Below are 21,030 nucleotides of genomic sequence, written 5' to 3' on the forward strand. Positions count from 1 at the left end.
TGTGCAGGTTAGTTACATATGTATACATGTGCCATGCTGGTGCGCTGCACCCACTAACTCGTCGTCTAGCATTAGGTATATCTCCCAATGCTATCCCTCCCCCCTCCCCCTAACCCACAACAGTCCCCAGAGTGTGATGTTCCCCTTCCTGTGTCCATGTGTTCTCATTGTTCAATTTCCCACCTATGAGTGAGAATATGTGGTGTTTGGTTTTTTGTTCTTGTGATAGTTTACTGAGAATGATGATTTCCAATTTCATCCATGTCCCTACAAAGGACATGAACTCATCATTTTTTATGGCTGCATAGTATTCCATGGTGTATATGTGCCACATTTTCTTAATCCAGTCTATCATTGTTGGACATCTTGGGTTGGTTCCAAGTCTTTGCTACTGTGAATAGTGCCGCAATAAACATACGTGTGCATGTGTCTTTATAGCAGCATGATTTATAGTCCTTTGGGTATATACCCAGTAATGGGATGGCTGGGTCAAATGGTATTTCTAGTTCTAGATCCCTGAGGAATCGCCACACTGACTTCCACAATGGTTGAACTAGTTGACAGTCCCACCAACGGTGTAAAAGTGTTCCTATTTCTCCACATCCTCTCCAGCACCTGTTGTTTCCTGACTTTTTAATGATTGCCATTCTAACTGGTGTGAGATGATATCTCATTGTGGTTTTGATTTGCATTTCTCTGATGGCCAGTGATGGTGAGCATTTTTTCATGTGTTTTTTGGCTGCATAAATGTCTTCTTTTGAGAAGTGTCTGTTCATGTCCTTCGCCCACTTTTTGATGGGGTTGTTTGTTTTTTCTTGTAAATTTGTTTGAGTTCATTGTAGATTCTGGATATTAGCCCTTTGTCAGATGAGTAGGTTGCGAAAATTTTCTCCCATTTTGTGGGTTGCCTGTTCACTCTAATGGTAGTTTCTTTTGCTGTGCAGAAGCTCTTTAGTTTAATTAGATCCCATTTGTCAATTTTGGCTTTTGTTGCCATTGCTTTCGGTGTTTTACACATGAAGTCCTTGCCCATGCCTATGTCCTGAATGGTAATGCCTAGGTTTTCTTCTAGGGTTTTTATGGTTTTAGGTCTAACGTTTAAGTCTTTAATCCATCTTGAATTGATTTTGGTATAAGGTGTAAGGAAGGGATCCAGTTTCAGCCTTTTACATATGGCTAGCCAGTTTTCCCAGCACCATTTATTAAATAGGGAATCCTTTCCCCATTCCTTGTTTTTCTCAGGTTTGTCAAAGATCAGATAGTTGCAGATATGCGGTGTTATTTCTGAGGGCTCTGTTCTGTTCCATTGATCTATATCTCTGTTTTGGTACCAGTACCATGTTGTTTTGGTTACTGTAGCCTTGCAGTATAGTTTGAAGTCAGGTAGTGTGATGCCTCCAGCTTTGTTCTTTTGGCTTAGGATTGACTTGGCAATGAGGGCTCTTTTTTGGTTCCATATGAACTTTAAAGTAGTTTTTTCCAATTCTGTGAAGAAAGTCATTGGTAGCTTGATTGGGATGGCATTGAATCTATAAATTACCTTGGGCAGTATGGCCATTTTCACGATATTGATTCTTCCTACCCATGAGCATGGAATGTTCTTCCATTTGTTTGTATCCTCTTTTATTTCATTGAGCAGTGGTTTGTAGTTCTCCTTGAAGAGGTCCTTCACGTCCCTTGTAAGGTGGATTCCTAGGTATTTTATTCTCTTTGAAGCAATTGTGAATGGGAGTTCACTCATGATTTGGCTCTCTGTTTGTCTGTTATTGGTGTATAAGAATGCTTGTGATTTTTGTACATTGATTTTGTATCCTGAGACTTTGCTGAAGTTGCTTATCAGCTTAAGGAGATTTTGGGCTGAGAAAGCAGGAAAATCCAAAACTGACACCCTAACATCACAATTAAAAGAACTAGAAAAGCAAGAGCAAACACATTCAAAAGCTAGCAGAAGACAAGAAATAACTAAAATCAGAGCAGAACTGAAGGAAATAGAGACACAAAAAATCCTTCAAAAAATTAATGAATCCAGGAGCTGGTTTTTTGAAAGGATCAACAAAATTGATAGACCACTAGCAAGATTAATAAAGAAAAAAAGAGAGAAGAATCAAATGGACGCAATAAAAAATGATAAAGGGGATATCACCACCGATCCCACAGAAATACAAACTACCATCAGAGATTACTACAAACACCTCTACCCAAATAAACTAGAAAATCTAGAAGAAATGGATAAATTCCTCGACACATACACCCTCCCAAGACTAAACCAGGAAGAAGTTGAATCTCTGAATAGACCAATAACAGGAGCTGAAATTGTGGCAATAATCAATAGCTTACCAACCAAAAAGAGTACAAGACCAGATGGATTCACAGCCGAATTCTACCAGAGGTACAAGGAGGAATTGGTACCATTCCTTCTGAAACTATTCCAATCAATAGAAAAAGAGGGAATCCTCCCTAACTCATTTTATGAGGCCAGCATCATCCTGATACCAAAGCCGGGCAGAGACACAACCAAAAAAGAGAATTTTAGACCAATATCCTTGATGAACATTGATGCAAAAATCCTCAGTAAAATACTAGCAAACCGAATCCAGCAGCACATCAAAAAGCTTATCCACCATGATCAAGTGGGCTTCATCCCTGGGATGCAAGGCTGATTCAATATACGCAAATCAATAAATGTAATCCAGCATATAAACAGAACCAAAGACAAAAACCACATGATTATCTCAATAGATGCAGAAAAGGCCTTTGACAGAATTCAACAACCCTTCATGCTAAAAACTCTCAATAAATTAGGTATTGATGGGACGTATCTCAAAATAATAAGAGCTATCTATGACAAACCGACAGCCAATATCATACTGAATGGGCAAAAACTGGAAGCATTCCCTTTGAAAACTGGCATAAGATAGGGATGCCCTCTCTCATCACTCCTATTCAACATAGTGTTGGAAGTTCTTGCCAGGGCAATTAGACAGGAGAAGGAAATAAAGGGCCAAAAGTTTTTTTTAAAGGTCTATCTACCATTAATGAAAATCACAGCAAATATCTCTTATGCATGCGTGTGCCTCCCAAATCATGAAAACTCTCTTTTTAAAAAGTATTTTATGGTACCATTTCTTGCAAGACAAAACCAAAATCACCAGCAGCAACACAGAGGAATCACTATACTGACAAGACTTTACCACAATGGTCAACATGTAGTTCTTTTCTTTTTCTTTTTCTTTTTTTTCTTTTTTTTTTTTTTTTTGAGACAGTGTTTTGCTCTTGTTGCCCAGGCTGGAGTGCAATGGCGCAATCTCAGCTCACCACAATCTTCACCTCCTGGGTTCAAGCGATTCTCCTGCCTCAGCCTCCCGAGTAGCTGGGATTACAGGCATGTGCCACCACGTCTGGCTAATTTTGTATTTTTAGTAGAGACAGGGTTTCTCCATGTTGGTCAGGCTGGTCTCAAACTCCCAAACTCAGGTGATCCGCCCACCTCGGCCTCCCAAAGCGCTGGAATAACAGGCGTGAGCCACCGCACCCGGCACCCCCCCCCTTTTTTTTTCTTTTGACACACAGTCTCACTCTGGCACCCAGGCTAGAGCACAGTGGTGTGACCTTGGCTCACTGCAACCTCTGCCTCCCAGGTTCAAGATTCTTGTGCCTCAGCCACCCAAGTAGCTGGGATTACAGGAATGCACCACCATGCCCAGCTAATTTTTGTATTTTTAGTAGAGACAGGGTTTCGCCATGTTGGCCAGGCTGGTCTTGAACTCCTGACCTCAAGTGATCCGCCCGCCTCGGCTTCCCAAAGTGCTGGGATTACAGACCCACTGTGCCCAGCCAACATGTGGCTCTTGACAAACGAAAGGTTTGTCATAGTGAAGTTTGCTTGTCAAGGACTTCTGGCTCCCAATAAATTCCCAACATAAGAAAACAGATATTCCAAGGTGCTAGGGAAAGGGTATAGCAATGCCTCATATAGCCCACCTTTACGCTACCCCAAGGCAGCTGTTAAACCATTTCTTCTCCATTAACAGAAAGAGGTGGTTGGAATTTAAAGATTTTAATGGCATAGTTAGGATTCCCAGCATGCATGAGTTCCTTACAATACTTTATATTAAAATCCGTTTCCTGTGAAACAGCATGTTTTAAAAACAGATTGTCATGAACACAGTTTTCCCCAAAGCAGTATTACTACTATACTTATTTCCTTCATAAAGGGCCCCTGGAAGCCATAAAATATAAGAACAATGGAACAAAAACTTAGTCTGCTTTGAATGAGTTTTATATTTCATAGTAAACAGTAGAATACCACCCAGGCAGGGTGGTAAAAGCACACGGTAGTCTGTAGTACTATTAATTCCATTCGTGTCTGGCACCACACCATCCACACTGCAGTGCACCGTGATCTGGTTAAAAGCACCTTTTAACCAACGTTTATCCCACCCCAAGGGAAGGTGTACTCAAATGTGGTTCATTAACAATAATTTACCCTAAAAAATATCTCAAGGTATGGAGTTGAAGTCAAACAATCACAGGGGTGAATGGTTTTCTAAAATGTTTAAAAGAACAGTTCAAAAGAAAGCAAAATAGAATCTTTTGTTAATTTCAGTTCACTTTTGCTTGAAGTGTAACAAAGCGGGGAAAGTGGCATTTTGATAGCAGTTGAGTTTATAAAGCACCACCTCAACTGTCCCTCACAGCGGCCCTAAGGAGGAGAATCAGCAAGTTTAGGAGTAGTGACTTGGACAAAATTACTCAATAAGCAGCAGACGCAGAAGTAAAATCCATAGCATCTACCCTACTTGTCAATAGTGTCCCCACAGAAGTAAAATATTTTTGCACCACATGGTGCAAGAATGGCCCCTGGCAACATCAACCATGCAACTCAAAGTCAAAAAGCAAAGTGATTCCAAGTTTGAAACAAAGCGATTCCAAGTTTCAAGCAGTGCTGGAAACAGAATGTCGGATTTGTGCAAGGGAAAAGAGTACCTTGCTCTCCAAGTCCAAGAGAGAGCAGAGCCACGCAACGTAAGAGAAGCATGCCTGGGAGAGTGAAATGCACCCTCTGTGAACAATGGAGGGAGCCACTCTCACCTGCAATTCACCTAATAATTCACCTCCGATTCGCCACCTTGTCACCTCCGATTCACCTTGTTCACCTAACGAGTCCGTGAACAACCATTCTAATAGGATATAGATCCCTATTCCCCTCTCACTAAGCAGGTCAGGAATGTGTATCAAGACACAACAGGCAAAACCCTCTGGGGAGTTCAGGGAACTGCAAGCTGTTCCATATGGATTTGTGTGCATTTTATCCTATAAACCAAGGGAAGCCATCGGGGGGGGGGGGGTTTAAGTTCCAAAATAATGTGGGGAGATCATTCCAACCGCAGAAGACGGATTGGGAGGAAGCAAGCTGGAGGCAGAGAAACCAAGTAGGAGGCTTTGCAGTAGGCAAGAGATAGATACTGGAACTAAAGGAAAAGTAATAATAATAGCATCATCATAATAATTCCCATTTAAGTTCCTACCATAGACCAGGCACTACGCTCAGTGCTTTACATTTAGTGTGAAACTTAATCTTCATTTCTGCCATGTCAAGTGGGGACTATTACCATCCCCTTTTTATAAAGAAAGCAATGCACAGAAGAGCAAGGTCACAGCCAGCTGGGAAGTAAAAGAGCCAGTTTGAACTCGGTTGACAGCTAGAGTCCTGACTCCGGGCCATACTCCCTTGCAGCATGGCAGAAAATAGACAAAAGATGGAGTGAATTCCAACAACAGGAATTGCCAGCACCTGCTGACTATGAGCAATGGGGATGAGGGAGGAGGAATCTGAGCTTCCCCAGGGGAGTCCAGCCAGGTCACACTGTGTGGGTGATGGTACCACTTGCAGGAAGATATTAATCTTAATGTTAGTTAATCCTGGCAACCTGGGAGCATTCCCTGGGTACAACCACGAAAGAGAGAACAAGCTCTAATGCCAGCATTTCCCACACTGCTGGGACTGTGCGCTTGCAGGTCTGTGCCCTTTCCTGGATGGGAAGGTCTGTAGCTGAAGACCCCTAGAAGAAAGTCTATGGATGCAGGGGACGGGGGTAGCATTGGGGGTATGAATGTAAGGAAACTACAAAGTGGTATGTTTGGGCAGTTTTCCAGGAAGTGGGCCCACAGCTTTGATCACAATCTTGGAAGTCTGTCACCTCCCAAAATTTAGAGAACAGTTATACTACCTGATGAGTCCCCAGGTCAGGGAACATGTTCTTATTTAAGCACTTATTCAAGCACCCAGCACAGTGGCTGGGATAGAATAAGCTTTAACATAGGGGGTGTGTTGAGTGAATGGTGAAGTGTGCAGCCATTAAAAATGAACTTCATGCAACTTGGAAAAATGCATATGAAGTGTTAAGTTCAAAATACAAACTTCTGTAATTAATAAAGAATTTATGGTGCTATTCTGAAAACATATGAATATTCTGTTTCTTACAAATTTCACCCAGTGGCTTTAGCATCCACTGATGATCCTTATTTGAATCCATTATTACATCAGAGATGACATCTACATTTTTAATTGGCTTTTCTTTTTTCTTTGCTTTTGTATTTTCTTAGTATTATTATGGACTCATGGAATTTCAGAAAATGAAATGTGTTATAATCTAATACTGTCATTGTTCTTTTTGATGTTCAAATTGTCCAAAATAAGGCCAGTGGGTGCCCTTTCAAGCTGGCTTCTTTGACCTTGGAAAACTCATACCCCTTTCATTTTCAGCTGTTCCTTGCTTTAAATACAGCAATATGTTCCAGGCTCATCTTGTACTTTTCCTGCCCCAGTCCTGGAATCAACCATTACTTCCAGGAGCCCTAGTTCATTTCAAATTTTTGGTATTTAAAAACCAAAATGGCCTGGCGCGGTGGCTCACACCTGTAATCCCAGCACTTCGGGAGGCCGAGGCGGGTGGATCACGAGGTCAGGAGTTCAAGACCAGCCTGGCCAAGATGGTGAAACCCCATCTCTACTAAAAATACAAAAAAATTAGCCGGGCATGGTGGCGGGCACCTGTAATCCCAGCCACTCGGGAGGCTGAGGCAGAGAATTGCTTGAACCCGGGAGGCAGAGATTGCAGTGAGCCGAGATCATGACACTGCACTCCAGCCTGGGCAACAGAGTGAGACTTGTCTCAAAAATAAATAAATAAATAAATAAATAAATAAATAAATAAATAAAACCAAAATGGAGAAAAATGTTCCTTTGCAAAGGAGATCTCCAGACCGTCACTGTATCACTCTTTCATCTTTTCTGTAGGTTTGCAAGTTTTCAAAATAAAAGAGTGTGGGTGTGTGTGTATATATATCTATATAGATAGATAGATACACTCACTATTATTACAGCCACAGAAAGAATCATATACAGGTATAGGCTCATAGGAAATATTTGAAAATGAGCACAGTAATTATGTTAGGCTGGTGGGTTTGTGGGTGCTTTTTTTTTCTCTCTCTCTCTTTTCTAAATTTTCTGTAATGCTACATGTAGAAGTTAACAGAAAACAAAACCATCCCAGGCTAGAAGTCAGCATGTTACTTAGCAGGAAAAAACCCCGATATATTGTCACAGAAGAGAGACCAGAGACAATGGTGAATGAAATGGGTTCCTTCTCACCCTGACTGTTGCCAGGACTCAACAAATATAGAGGGAAGGGCTAAGCACAGAGGAGAGAATGGACTTAGATCCTAGGGGCACACAAAGGAAAGAGGAAACGGAAGGAACTGGCTTCAGGTGTGTACTTCCTTTAAAGACTCTCTTATTACAAAGTAGTTTCGGCTTTTGGGTTTGGTCTGAAACAGTCAAGCAAATACAGTGAATCACTGAGTACCTTTCCCTCCTGTTGTTTTTGTACCACGCTGCTTCCTGTTTTGCCACAAAAAGATGATTTATCTGCACAAGAGACAGTAATTGCTGGATGGAGACATGGAATCCAAAGTTCCAAAACTAGAATAAAATGCTACTCAAATGACTCAAGATTCTGGTTTTATACTTAAAAATATGTTTCCCAAAAAGCTGCATTTCTGTGAACTGCAAACTGAACCCCATCTAAGTTTTTGCTTTCTGATATACATCAAGCACTGTCCAAGGAAGAGAGTTTTACTCTGATCTGACAAATAAAAACTGGAAGTTGTGCCTAAACTTGGTGTGTAGTGATTGCTCCCAAGAGCCTTGCAGGCAGCCACAGAGACACACATGCTAGAAAACAATCTATGAACTTTAGACTCTGATCCTTCTCTCCTTACTTAAAAATGGAATTCTAGGCCTCAGGCCAGGCACATTGGCCCATGCCTGTAATCTCAGCACTTTGGGAGGCCAAGGTGGGCGGATTGCTTGCGCCCAGGAGCTTGAGACCAGCCTGAGAAACAAAAAAAAAAAAAAAGGAATTCCAGAAAGAGATTAGATGCTCTGTTTCTAGATTTAAACAAGCAAACAAACAAAGAAAACTTGCAATTACAAGCACCTTCATATTCTCCTGAAATGTATTTCTTATAATTACATGAAGCAGTCTCATTCTTTTACATTATGTGTCAGCAAGACCATGCAAATTTGTGGTTGCCTTTTATACGTGAGACAAATTGTTTAGACACCAGAGGAGAGAGATCAGCAAAGAATTGCAATGATTTATTTAATGGACCATTATTTCCCATTTGATTTTTTTATTTTCAAAATGGTTTGTTAGTTAGACTCGTGTAAAAAAAGAGTTAACAGCAGGCTTGAGGCTGCTATCTTTCAAAGGGCCTGCTTGCAGGGTTAGTTCTTGGCTGGTGTCCGGGAACATGGCTTTCGGAATGTGTGCTCCATTACTAACTGATAAGGTCATTTTGCTGGGCTTAGGCTGTTTATACAATGTGATCTATGGTGAACACCTGCTTTCCCTCTGGCATCTGGAATTTTGGTGGTTGCTAGGTAGAAAATGCCTATGTGACCAGCCCTCGAAATATCCCTAAACTCTGAGCCTCAAACTGGCTCATCTGGGCAGAAACATCACATAGGCATAGTTGCATTTTCACTGCTGGAAGGAAGGCGAACTCGACGTGACTTATCACAGGAGAGAGATCATAGGAAACGTGCAAATGAATTTCTCCAGACTCCACTTATCTTTCCCATTACTGATCTTGCTGTGCATGTTTACTTTGCCACCATAATAAATATTAGCTATAAGGCCGGTCGCGGTGGCTCACACCTGTAATCCCAGCACTTTGGGAGCCCGAGGCACACGGATCACCAGAGGTCAGGAGTTCAAGCCCAGCTTGGCCAACATGGTGAAACCCCATCTCTACTAAAAATACAAAAATTAGCTGGGCATGGTGGCGGGTGCCTGTAATCCCAGCTACTCGGGAGGCTGAGGCATAAGAATTGCTTGAACCCGGGAGGTGGAGGTTGCAGTGAGCCAAGACCACATGATTGCACTCCAGCCTGGGCAACAAGAGTGAAACTCCATCTCTAAATAAATAAATAAATAAATATTAGCTATGAGTACAGCTATATTCTGATTACTTTCAGCAAATCACCAAAGTGTGGGCAGTCTTGGGGGGACCCCCTAAACAAGACTCTTATTTTGATTTTGCATGTATTTTTAAATAGCTCATAAAAACCTAAAAAATACTGTCCTGAAGCTATTGTGCCCTTGAACTGCCCACTACAAGCCTAAAACCAGGTGAAATTGGTCTTCCTAACTGCTGCCATTCTGTAGATAATGAAGTAGCTGAGAATTTAGCTCACTAGCTGTAAATCCCAAAATAATAGTCTTACTGCAACTTCCCAGGCCCTAAAAGATAAATATTCTCCGCTAGGCAGAATGCGGAGGTTACACCTCAGGTACGCTTAACTCAAAGGCAAGGATTTTTACACTCCATGCTTTAAAGACATTGGCCGTACACGTGCCATACAATTGAATATCATCAGCGCCAACTTCTGGGAAAGGAAGTCATTATTCTAGTGTTCATATTCCTTGTCACATTGTTTAGGGTTGATTACAAGCAGTAATCTTGTTTGTCAGAAATACAGCCCCAACTCAGCTCACATTAGAGCCTGGCATCAGAGTAGTCATTTGCTTTTCAAAGCTCACTAATCTCATGGAGCTGGGCAGAGAGGAGTTGAAGTGCAAGGTTCCTCTGGAATCCTGGTGTCTGTCACTGGATTAATTCATAGTCACCACCCTCTGTCAGAAAACTCTCTGAAATGTGTCAAGATTTGACTCCCCTGCTACCTGCATTCATTACTTTAATGGGTAATAAACAACCCCTGTGTGTAAGGGAGCCAGGGAGATAAAGATAAATAAGATGCTGGCTGTCCTTAAGGAATGTACCAATTTGTGGTTGATACACGTAGGAATTCCCTCAGTGTCATGGAAGCCTACTAGTCAGCTATAATTCCAATGCCAGCATCAGAGCTTGGTTAAGAGGTCTTTCCTTCTCTCTGAGACATACTATATCTCACTCAGGAGTCACTAGCAATCAGTCAGTTTTTTCAGAAACTACTAGGAAGCCTTTTTTTTTTTTGAGACAGGGTCTCCCTCTGTCGCCCAAGCTGGAGTGCAGTGGTGCAATCTCAGCTCACTGCAACCTCTGCCTCCCGGGTTCAAACGCTCCTCCTGCCTCAGCCTCCCTAGCAGCAGCGTGTGCCACCACGTCTGGCTAATTTTTGTACATTTAGTAGATACGGGGTTTCACCATGTTCGCCAGGCTGGTCTCGAACTCCTGACCTCAGGTGATCTGCCCACCTCGGCCTCCCAAAATGCTGGGATTACAGGCGTGAGCCACCACACCCCGCTGGAAGCTCTACCCAGAGACCACCACCCGCCATGCGGGAATTGGCAGGCCATACAACACACAGGTGGGCAGTCCACACGAGCCAGACAGGATTTGTATATTAGTTGGTATTTGCAAACAGCCAGATAGTTATAAGTGAGTTATTTCTCCCAGCCATCTAACTTGTCCCACTATCACCTTCCTTTCAGTGTGAGAATCTAAAATAACGGGAATTGTAAAACGGCTGCAAAGGGTCACAGCCCACATCTGACATGGGACCACATTAGGATGTCCAATCAGTGGCATAAGCTGTGCAGTCTCAGAACACAGGAAGCTCTTCTTCAGATGAAATCTCTCTTGCAGAACCATGGCACATGAGCCAGATAAAGTGGAGCTGCTCAGCTGAAGCAGGAAGGAGCCCAGAGCCCCCATGGCCTGCTCCCGCAGCAGCCCAGACTCCAGCTCCGAGAGCACAGTTTGAAAGTCAGTGCACTGAAAGGGGTGAACATCAATACAGTAAGATGCCCAAAGTGCAAATTATGTGAAGCTGTTCCCATATGAACACATGGTGAAAGGAAATGCTAGAGAGCTGTGAGCTTCTCCTAGCAGGTAATGACACAAATAAGTAGGGTTGTGTAACAAGCACACACGTGCACACCACACACAGATCCTGCCAGCCCTCAACAGCAACACTGCGAGGGTTGTTTGCCAGAATGAGGGTTGGCAGTGGTAATCTTCTGAACAACATATATCTGGTTATTGTGGTAATAACCCCTACCAAAGTCTATGATATTCTGGATGGTTGCTTCTGCTTTTCAAGTTATTAGGTACGATATCCTTGGATGAGAAGAAAGAAAAATAAACTCTCCCCAAACTAGTATTGAAATGTAATGAAATTTTGGCGGGACACGGAGGCTCACGCCTACAATCCCAGCACTTTGGGAGGCCAAAGCAAGCAAATCACTTTAAGGTCAGGAGTTCGAGACCAGCCTGGCCAACATGGTGAAACCCTGTCTCTACTAAAAAATACAAAAATTAGCCAGGCATGGTGGCACACACCTGTAGTCCCGGCTACTTGGGAGGCTGAGGCAGGAGAATCTCTTGAACCTGGGAGGTGGAGGTTGCAGTGAGCTGAGATTGCTCCACTGCACTCCAGCCTGAGCAACAGAGCAAGACCCTGTCCCTAAATAAATAAATAAATTAATTTAATTTAATTTAATTTTAAAATCCCTAAGGAATTTTTTATTCAAACTTGATTTTTAAAAAGCATTGTACAGGCTGGGCACAGTGGCTCATACCTATAATGCCAGCACTTTGGGAGGTCAAGGCAGGAGGATTGCTTGAGGTCAAGAATTCAAGACCAGCCTGGACAATATAGTGAGACCTTGTCTCTACAAAAATAATAAATTAAAAAAATTAGCCAGGCATGGTGGTGTGTGCCTGTAGTCCCAGCTAATTGGGAGACTGAGGCAGGAGGATTTCTTGAGCCTAGGAGTTCAAGGCTGCAGTGAGCTATGATTGTGCTACTGCACTCCAGCCTGGGTGACAGAGCCAGACCTTATCTCTAAGAAAATAATAAATAAATAACAGTTTGCCTGGAGGAATAGCAAAACACACTAAACATGTTAATAATGGTGGGAGTAGGATCGATAAGGTCCTGATTTATAATAATGCTATGAAAATGAAAAGGATGGCAAAGGTTCAGGTGTAAGAGATAAAATCATCAATGGAACAAAATAGAAATCCCTGAAACAAAGTCAAATTACTCAACTCGTTGACAATTTGGCAGGGAAGTAGGGAGCCAAATCCCAACCTCACAGGTTTCACTGAAAATAAAATCCATATAGATTATAGATTTAAACTATGAAATTGAAACCAGAAAAATGCTAGAGGAAAACACAGGGGTTATTATTTATATAATCTTTCCATAAGGAAAGATGTTAGGCATGAGAGTAAAGGCAGAAGCCACAAAAGTAAAATATTTGACTACATACATTTTTAAAAAACATAAAAAAGGACTAAACTCTTTAGGGAGAACAAAACTACCATTAACAATTTAGAAGGAAAGCAAAATCACTTTGAAAAATATTTGCAGCCTAACAAAGGATTAATGACCTTTATACATAAAGAGCTTACCAATCAGTAAGGAAAATAATACAATACCAAAATGAAGAAAAGATATGAACAAACTATTCATAAAACAAACAGCCAATAAACATATAAAAATTCATATATATTAATCAAAGAATCAACAAAAGACAATCTTTTCACTTATCAAAATGAAAAAAATTTCTAAAATAATACCCAGTGTCATCACGATTTGGAAAGCTGACACATTACTACCGTAGGTGTGATTAAATCATTTTCACAAAGAGAAGAAAATTATGTTTAAGAGAAAAAAACTGATTCTTCACATTTAAAAATTCTATAGTGGTATTAATTTTTGTAAGAAACCCTAAGATATTAATAACTATGCATCTTGGTTTATTGCTAAGAGCAGTAAGCTGGTTACCTGGAAGACAGTTTGCAACCCTGTTGCAAGTAGGCATTCAGGTTCCCAGTTGCTGCAAGTAACAGCCCCAGATACGGAGGGGAAGGCTTCATCGGCCTAGAAGAAAACTCAGGATGGAACTGGACACCAACAAAATAAGGATGATCTGAAATGAGAACAATCACGATGCGATTAAAGCAGACAAACAGGAGAACTGCTTTAAAGATCTTCTTATCTTTGAATATGAAAACTCATTAAATGGTAAGATGATTCTTTAACCTGTTATCATTACAGCCAGTTACTTTCACTATCCATCCATTCCTTCGTGGAATTTCAAATTGTAAAACACATCTTGGAAATTTTATGTGCGGAAGGTGTCAGAGTGAGCAAAGTCAAGCAAAAATTTTTGAATGGCAAGAAGAATTCCACTTTCCCCAAATCTGCCTGCTTTTTGAAGGCACTTTGTAGATTTATGTTGGTTCAATTTCCCTTGGACTTTAGGCTAACCCTGGGTCTTTCTTTCTTTAGGTGGCTTCAGGCCATTTCCTGCAAGGTCTTCTCCTTTCCCAGGGTAAGTGTCCCCTGGGATAAACCAGCACAATATCAACCCATTGGGCTACCCTTGGGAACCCAACGAGGACAATTGCTTTTCTAGTCACAGCTTTAAGTTGGGTATTACTCATAGCACCACAAAACTGAGCATTTTTTGAACAAAGTGATTCAGAGCAATGATCCATTCATTCAAATATCCTGTCCCTGGCTATGACTCAAACTAAAGATAATAAAATATAATAAGTTTAAGAGGGGGAAGTAAATATAACTTTAAAGCTTTCAATGAGGTGCTTTATCAAATGATCTAAAATCTAGTATGGAATTCAAAATCACAAATTCCCATCACTTACCAGCAAAGATCCAAAGCTACTACTACAGTAATAAGGAAATGATGATTGAATGCAAATGTCTACTTTCTTAAGGTAATCATTTAAAGCCCTGCTAGAACAGCTATTATTAAAAAAGTCAAAAAACAGCAGATGCTGGCAAGGCTGTGGAGAAAAGAAAACATACTGTTGGTGGGAATGTAAGTTATTTCAGCCACTGTGGAAAGCAGTTTGGAGATTTCTCAAAGAACTTAAACCAGAATTACCATTCAACTCAGTAATCCCATTACTGGGTATATACCCAAAGGAAAATAAATCATTCTACAAAAAAGACACATGCACTTACATGTTCATGGCAGCAGTATTCACAATAGCAAAGCCATGGAATCAACTAGATGCCTATCAATGGTGGAATGGATAAAGAAAATGTGGCACATATATACCATGGAATAGTATGCAGCCATAAAAACGAAACCATGTCCTTTGCAGCAACATGGATGCAGCTGGGGGCCATTATTCTAAACGAATTAACACGGAAACAGAAAACCAAATACTGCATGTTCTCACTTATAAATGGGAGCTAAACATTGGGTACTTATGGACATAAAGATGGGAACAATAGACACTGGGAACTACCAGAGGGAGGAAGGAAAGGGGAGTGCAAGAGTTGAAAAACTATCTGTTGGGTACTCTAGTCAGTACTTGGGTGATGGGATCCATACCCTAAACCTTAGCATCACACAATATAACCATGTAACAAATCTGCACGTGGGCCAAGCACAGTAACTCATGCCTGTAATCCCAGCACTCTGGGAGGCCAAGGTGGGCAGATTTCTTGAGCCTAGGAGCTCGAGACCAGCCGGGGCAATATGGTGAAACCCTGTCTGTACAAAAAATACAAAAATTAGCTGGGCGTGGTGGCGTGCACCTGTGGTTCCAGCTACTTGGGAGGCTGAGATGGGAGGATCGCTTCAGCCCAGGAGGTGGAGGTTGCCATGAGCCATGATAATACCACTGCACTCCAGCCTGGGTGACAGGGTGAGACCCTATCTCAAAAACAAAAACAAACAAACAAAAAAAACTGCGCATGTACTCCCTGCATCCAAAATGAAAGTTGAAATTATTAAAAAAAAAAAAAAAAAGCTCTGCTATAGAAAATGGTAGCCACTAGCCATATGTAGCTACTTAAATTCATTAACATTAATTCAGCATTTGAAACATGTTCAAAGTTACATGTGGCTAGTGGCTACCATATTGGATAGGGTGGACTAGTTCTATCATTGCAGTGAGTTCTATAGGACAGCTCTGATCCCAGAAAAATCCAGTGAGTTCTATAGGACAGCTCTGATCCCAGAAAAATCCAGTGTAGAAATCCTCTACATCTAAGAAGAAACCTCCTTGAATTAGAGGAATATGCAGGTAAGAAAGCCTGATAAGGGGAATGCCACCTTCTCCCAGGAATGTATTCCCTCAAGAAACGCAGAGAAATCATCCGCACTTAGAGAAGAAATTAAGCAATGTAGCTTAAAATTTAAGAGACAATAAATCTTACTGCATAACATCTAGGGACATCTTTGAAAAAAAAGCAGACAGTAACTGTGCTTTTGTATCACTACAGACAGATGCTGAGCAATGTAATCATGTAATAGCCAGGGACAGACTATGTGAATGAATGGATCATTGCTCTGAATCACTTTATCCAAAAAATCCTCTATGCCAATATGAGGAGAAAGTAAAAAGTTTTTATTTTGATGATGTTCTATCAGTTAGATAAAATTATCTTTAAAATAATGCTGTTGATTGCTTTAAACCAAATTCTGACATTATATAATATTAATCTCAAGCTTTGTTGTTCCTCTCAGAACCCTTCAGGAACAGTGGAGATTCGTGGATATGTTTCCAAGGGGTATCTAAGATCAAAATCTTCTGGGGAATTTTCCTTAATAACTGCTTGCAGTCCGCTTTTAAAAACTGCAAGGTTTTATAGCAGCTCTCATTTCCTTTTCAATCCACATGAAATTTGAAAGCCCCAGTGGGAATCTAAATCCTTATGATGAAAGAACCTTCTAAGTATTTGATGACAATAATGACAACCAGAAGAATTAAAAGTGAATAAGTACTTAAACAAAGTAAACAAATAGTAATTTGCTTAAGAAATTTTCTGCCTTCTCACATGCTAGGAAGATTTAAGAGGCTTCAATACCAACAGCGATCCACACTTTAATTCTAAATGATGGGCATTTCCATCAGAAAGACTCCTGGAAATGCGTACTTACTATTCTAATTCAAAACTCTAGGCATGAATTGATCATCTTAGGTAGAACGTGAAAACAAGAGAAACAATGAAATCCCACAGCAGTGGTGGCAGAAGGAGGTAACCAACTGGGTTTGCTCTTGCTGCAAAGGACTAGCTGGATGGCCCTGGGCATGTCATTTAACCTCTTTGCACTCCGGTGTCCTCTGTAAAGTGGGAATAGCATCATCTGCTTTGTTAGTTACATAAGGTATGCAAAGTCCCTAGCAAGAGGTCTAGTGACAAGCATCCAGTAAGTGCACACTGAATGTCCATTGCTTTCCTTCTTTCAGGTCTAGGTAAAATGCTACAACGTTCAAAGGAGCCTTCTTGGACTTCAATTCTCCCCTCTGCTCGGGACTCTGGAAGTACTTGAACAGATTAGAGACAAAAAGGAAAAGAGACAGAGAAAAGGCATTTGAAATGGAGAATAGTGATATGAGCTAAGACGGAGAAAGAAGAGGGAGGTTAGAAGACGCACAGGCAATCCAATTTATCTGGAGCCTAAAGCATATAGGCTGGAAATGCAGGTTCTGGAACATCACGGTACCATTTTTACAGTATCCTGCACACCCTTAGTACTCAATATATGAGAGTGGTTTATCCAACAAATTAGTGTCACACACTGCAGAGTTCTGTTCTTGTTAGGAGGTATTGGAGAAGGGATGGCTTGGAAGCAGGAAGGAGATTGAGGACAAGTGTGAGCTGGAGTTGGCATGCACTGGGACTAGTGTTCTAGGGATGGCAGTGCAATTCTAAACACCAGCTTTCTTTCCAGAGGCAGAATCTGCAGGACTTGACAACACACTGCTAGTTGGGATCTGAAGGGGAAGAAGAGCTAATATGTGAAATTTCTAGCCTGATAGTCTAGGAGAATGGTTCTCCACCAAATGTGCCCCCCAGGGACTTGCCTTTTTTTTTTTAAGATAGGGTCTTGTTCTGTCACCCAGGCTGAAGTGCAGTGGCATGATCATGGCTCACTGCAGCCTCAACTTCCCAGGCTCAACCTCCTACCTCAGCCTCCTAAGTAGCTGGGACCACAGGCACGAACCACCATGCCCAGCTAATTATTTAGTTTTTTGTAGAGACAGGATCTCACTATGTTGCCCACGCTGGTCTCGAACTTCTGGCTTCAAGTGATCTTCCGACCTTCGCCTCCCAAAGCGTTGGGATTACAGGCGTGAGCCACTGCACCTGGCTCTCCAGGGGCATTTGATGATGTCTGGAGATATTTTGGGTTGTCACAACGTGGGAGGTAGGGATGATAGTGGCAGTGAGTAGAGGCTAGGAATGCTGCCAAACACTCTACAACAGGGGTGTCCAATCTTTTGGCTTCCCTGGGCCACACTGGAAGAAGATGAATTGTCTTGGACCATACATAAAATACACTAACACTAATGATAGCTGATGAGCTTAAAAAAAAATTGCAAAAAAATCTCATAATGTTTTAAGAAAGTTTACGAAATTGTGTTGGGCCACATTCAAATCCACCCTGGGCTGCATGCAGCCCACGGACTGTGGGTTGGACAAGCTTGCTATACAGTGCACAGGACAGCCTCCACGACAAAGAATTATTCCACTCCAAATGTCAATCAATAGTGGCAAGGCTGAGAAACCCTGGACAAGGATATTGATGATATCTTAACAGAAACAGGAGAATGAACTAATTGGGAGACCATGTAAATTTAGTTTTAAATAAGTTGAGATGGAAGTGGCAACACAACATCCAAATACACAAACAGGTCAAGGAGGCACGTGAAAATGTTAAATTCAAGTTAGTTAAATGAAGTGTATATGTGTGAGTCTAGCCCAGGAGTTAGCAAATGTTTCTGTAAAGGGCCAATATTCTATAAAAGGTAAATATTTCAGGCTTTGTGAGCCATAAGGTCTCTTTCTTAACTACTCATCTCTGCCATGGTAGCATAAAAAACAGCCATGGGCCAGGTGCAGTTGCTCATGCCTGTAATCTCAGCACTTTGGGAGGCTAAGGAGGGAAGAGGCCTTGAGCCCAGGTGAGACCAGCCTGAGCAACATGGCAAAACCCTGCCGCTACAAAAAAAATTTAAAAATTGGCTGCGCATGGTGGCTCATGCCTGTAATCCCAGCACTTTGGGAGGCTGAGGAAGGAAGAGGCCTTGAGCCCAGGTGAGACCAGCCTGAGCAACATGGCAAAAACCTGCCGCTACAAAAAAAATTTTAAAATTGGCTGCGCGTCGTGGCTCATGCCTGTAATCCCAGCACTTTGGGAGGCCAAGGCAGGCGGATCACGAGGTCAGGAGTTCAAGACCAGCCTGGCCAACATAGTGAAACCCCATCTCTACTAAAAAATACAAAAATTAGCCGGGCATGGTGGAACATGCCTGTAGTCCCAGCTACTCGGGAGGGTGAGGCAGGAGAATTGCTTGAACCTGAGAGGTGGTGGTTACAGTGAGCCAAGATCGCGCCACTGCACTCCAGCTTGGGCAACAGAGTAAGACTTCATCTCAAGAAAAAAAAAAAGTAGCCAGGCAGGGTGATGCACACCTGCAGTCCCAGCTCCTTGGGAGGCTGAGGTGGGAGGATTACTTGTGCCCAAGAGGTCAAGGCTGCAGTAAGCCATGATCATGGCACTGCACTCCAGCCTGGGTGACAGAGCTAGACCCTGTCTCAAAAAAAATAAAAATTAAAAGCAGCCATAGACAAGACATAAATGAATGAGTGTTGCTGTTGTCGGAGCTCAGAAAATACTACCCTAAAGTAGTTTGAACTGAAGGTGACTGGGAAGACCTCCAAAGCAAGAAGGTCACTGTGATGTTTCCCCCGCCTTTCCATGTGAAAGCTGGCTATAAATAAATTATCTGACCTACCTTTCCTGAAAGTAGGTCATAAGACCCTCATTCCAGATGAGTCCTGCTCTAGACCTGGGGGAATGGGATGCTACACAGAAAGGCCAAGAAGAATCTGAGCAGACAGGCCTTTCTGGGTTTCCCTGTCAGTCTATTACCATTAGAGTATGCCCTTTTGCCCAATCACATTGCTACATGGCTGTCCACTGTTCATCAAACCTAAGCATACAAATGAAGTTTTCCCCAAGTCTTTGGGTCTTCATTCCTGAAGACTAAAGTGTCACATAAAACTTTGATTAAATAAATTTGTTATGCTTTTCTCTTGTCAACCTGTCTTGTTATAGGGTTGTTGGTCATGACCCTTATGATGGGTAAGAAGGTCACAGATAACACCTTTCTACCCCTAAACTGTGTTCCAATAAAACTTTATTTATGGATGCAAATTTGAATGGCATACACTTTTCACATGTCACAGACAGTATTCTTTTTTAAATTTTTTTAACCATTAAAAAATGTAAAAATCATTCTCAGCTCATAAGCTGGCTGTAAACAGCAGGCTGGACGTGGTGCACAGGCAGTAGTTTGCCAACCCCTGGGCTAGAACATCAAGACAAAGAGCTGAGACCAGCTGTGACCATGAGCTTACCATGTCCTTGCAAAGCTGACTGAGAAGAACACTGCCTTCTGTCTCATCAATAGTAAATGTGTAGTTTGTGCCTATGTGCTCACGGGTGTTCCAGCCTGGTTACTAACAACAACTTCGGTGTTCTTCCTCAATTCTGATGCCTTTATTTCTGTTCTGTTTGCTCTTAAAAACAACTCTGGGGGCAGTGATTAGTGTTCAGAAGTTAAATGACTGACCCGTGCTTGACCACCCAGCACAGTGGAGAAAGGCAGGAGAGGAGCCAGGTCCCTCAAGCAACAGAAATCAACATCAGTCACCAAAAATGAGGTGGCACTTGGCTATTCTTTCTCAAAAGAGGAGAGCAGGCAGGGTGCCACTCAACAGTGCCACTCTGCCTTTCCCAGAGCACCTAACCTAGAGGCTGGCACAAAGAAGTAGCCTCAGAAAGAGAGGAGTTGGTAAGGAAGCATACTACTTGTAGAACTGGTAGACTTGGAATAATACATCATTTTATGGTGGAGTCAGACTAATAGGCTCCAAAATGATCAGGATTATAAGCAGTCTGTTTTTCTGAGACAAAGTCTCACTCTGTCACCCAGGCTGGAGTGCAGTGACGCGATCTCGGCTCACTGCAACCTCCACATCCTGGGTTCAAGCGACTCTCCTGCCTCAGTCTCCTGAGTAGCTGGGACTACAGGTGCACGCCACCACACCTGGCTAATTTTTGTATTTTTAGTAGAGATGGGGTTTCACCATGTTGGCCAACCTGGTCTCGAACTCCTGACCTCAGGTGATTCGCCAACCTCAGCCTCCCAAAGTGCTGGGATTACAGGCGTGAGCCACCATGCCCAGCCAGCAGTCTGTTTTTTTCATGTACTTTGTAGTTACATATTTGTTTCAAAGGAGAGAAGAAAAGAAAGAATGCAAAAAAAACTGGGTCTCAAATTAGTCTGTGGTCCACAAAAAGGCAAGTTATTGGAAGGTTTTCAAAAATGAAGAGCCCACTTACTTGCCAGTTCAATGATTTCCATCCTGTCTCCATCAACATCCTGACCTACAAAACTTAAGTCATTCTGCTCAAATTGTTTGATCAGGTTAGGGTTTACCTGCAAAACAAGAAATTAAGT

General features: G+C 42.0%; 1 protein-coding gene across 9 annotated transcripts in view, besides 1 other annotated feature; it reads right to left on the minus strand.

The window, feature by feature from the left end:
- Nucleotides 1-21,030, minus strand: part of CTPS2 (CTP synthase 2) — a 124,912-nt gene that overhangs the window by 8,239 nt on the left and 95,643 nt on the right. For all 9 annotated transcript variants that reach the window (NM_019857.5, XM_006724503.4, XM_047442260.1 and 6 more), the window contains 2 exons: nt 20,913-21,009; nt 13,304-13,448 (listed from right to left, as the gene is read on the minus strand). In NM_019857.5, coding sequence (NP_062831.3) covers nt 13,304-13,448; nt 20,913-21,009 — 242 coding nt within the window. The remainder of the gene's footprint in view (nt 1-13,303; nt 13,449-20,912; nt 21,010-21,030) is intronic.
- Nucleotides 10,673-11,173: an enhancer, noted in NCBI's record as "H3K4me1 hESC enhancer chrX:16625033-16625533 (GRCh37/hg19 assembly coordinates)". NCBI's record gives its function as "activates a minimal SCP1, AML or CMV promoter by ChIP-STARR-seq in naive H9 embryonic stem cells {active_cell/tissue: H9 hESC(naive)}" and the evidence as "EXISTENCE:reporter gene assay evidence [ECO:0000049][PMID:30033119]".

Source organism: Homo sapiens, chromosome X (genome assembly GCF_000001405.40).
Source record: "Homo sapiens chromosome X, GRCh38.p14 Primary Assembly".
NCBI lineage: Eukaryota > Metazoa > Chordata > Mammalia > Primates > Hominidae > Homo > Homo sapiens.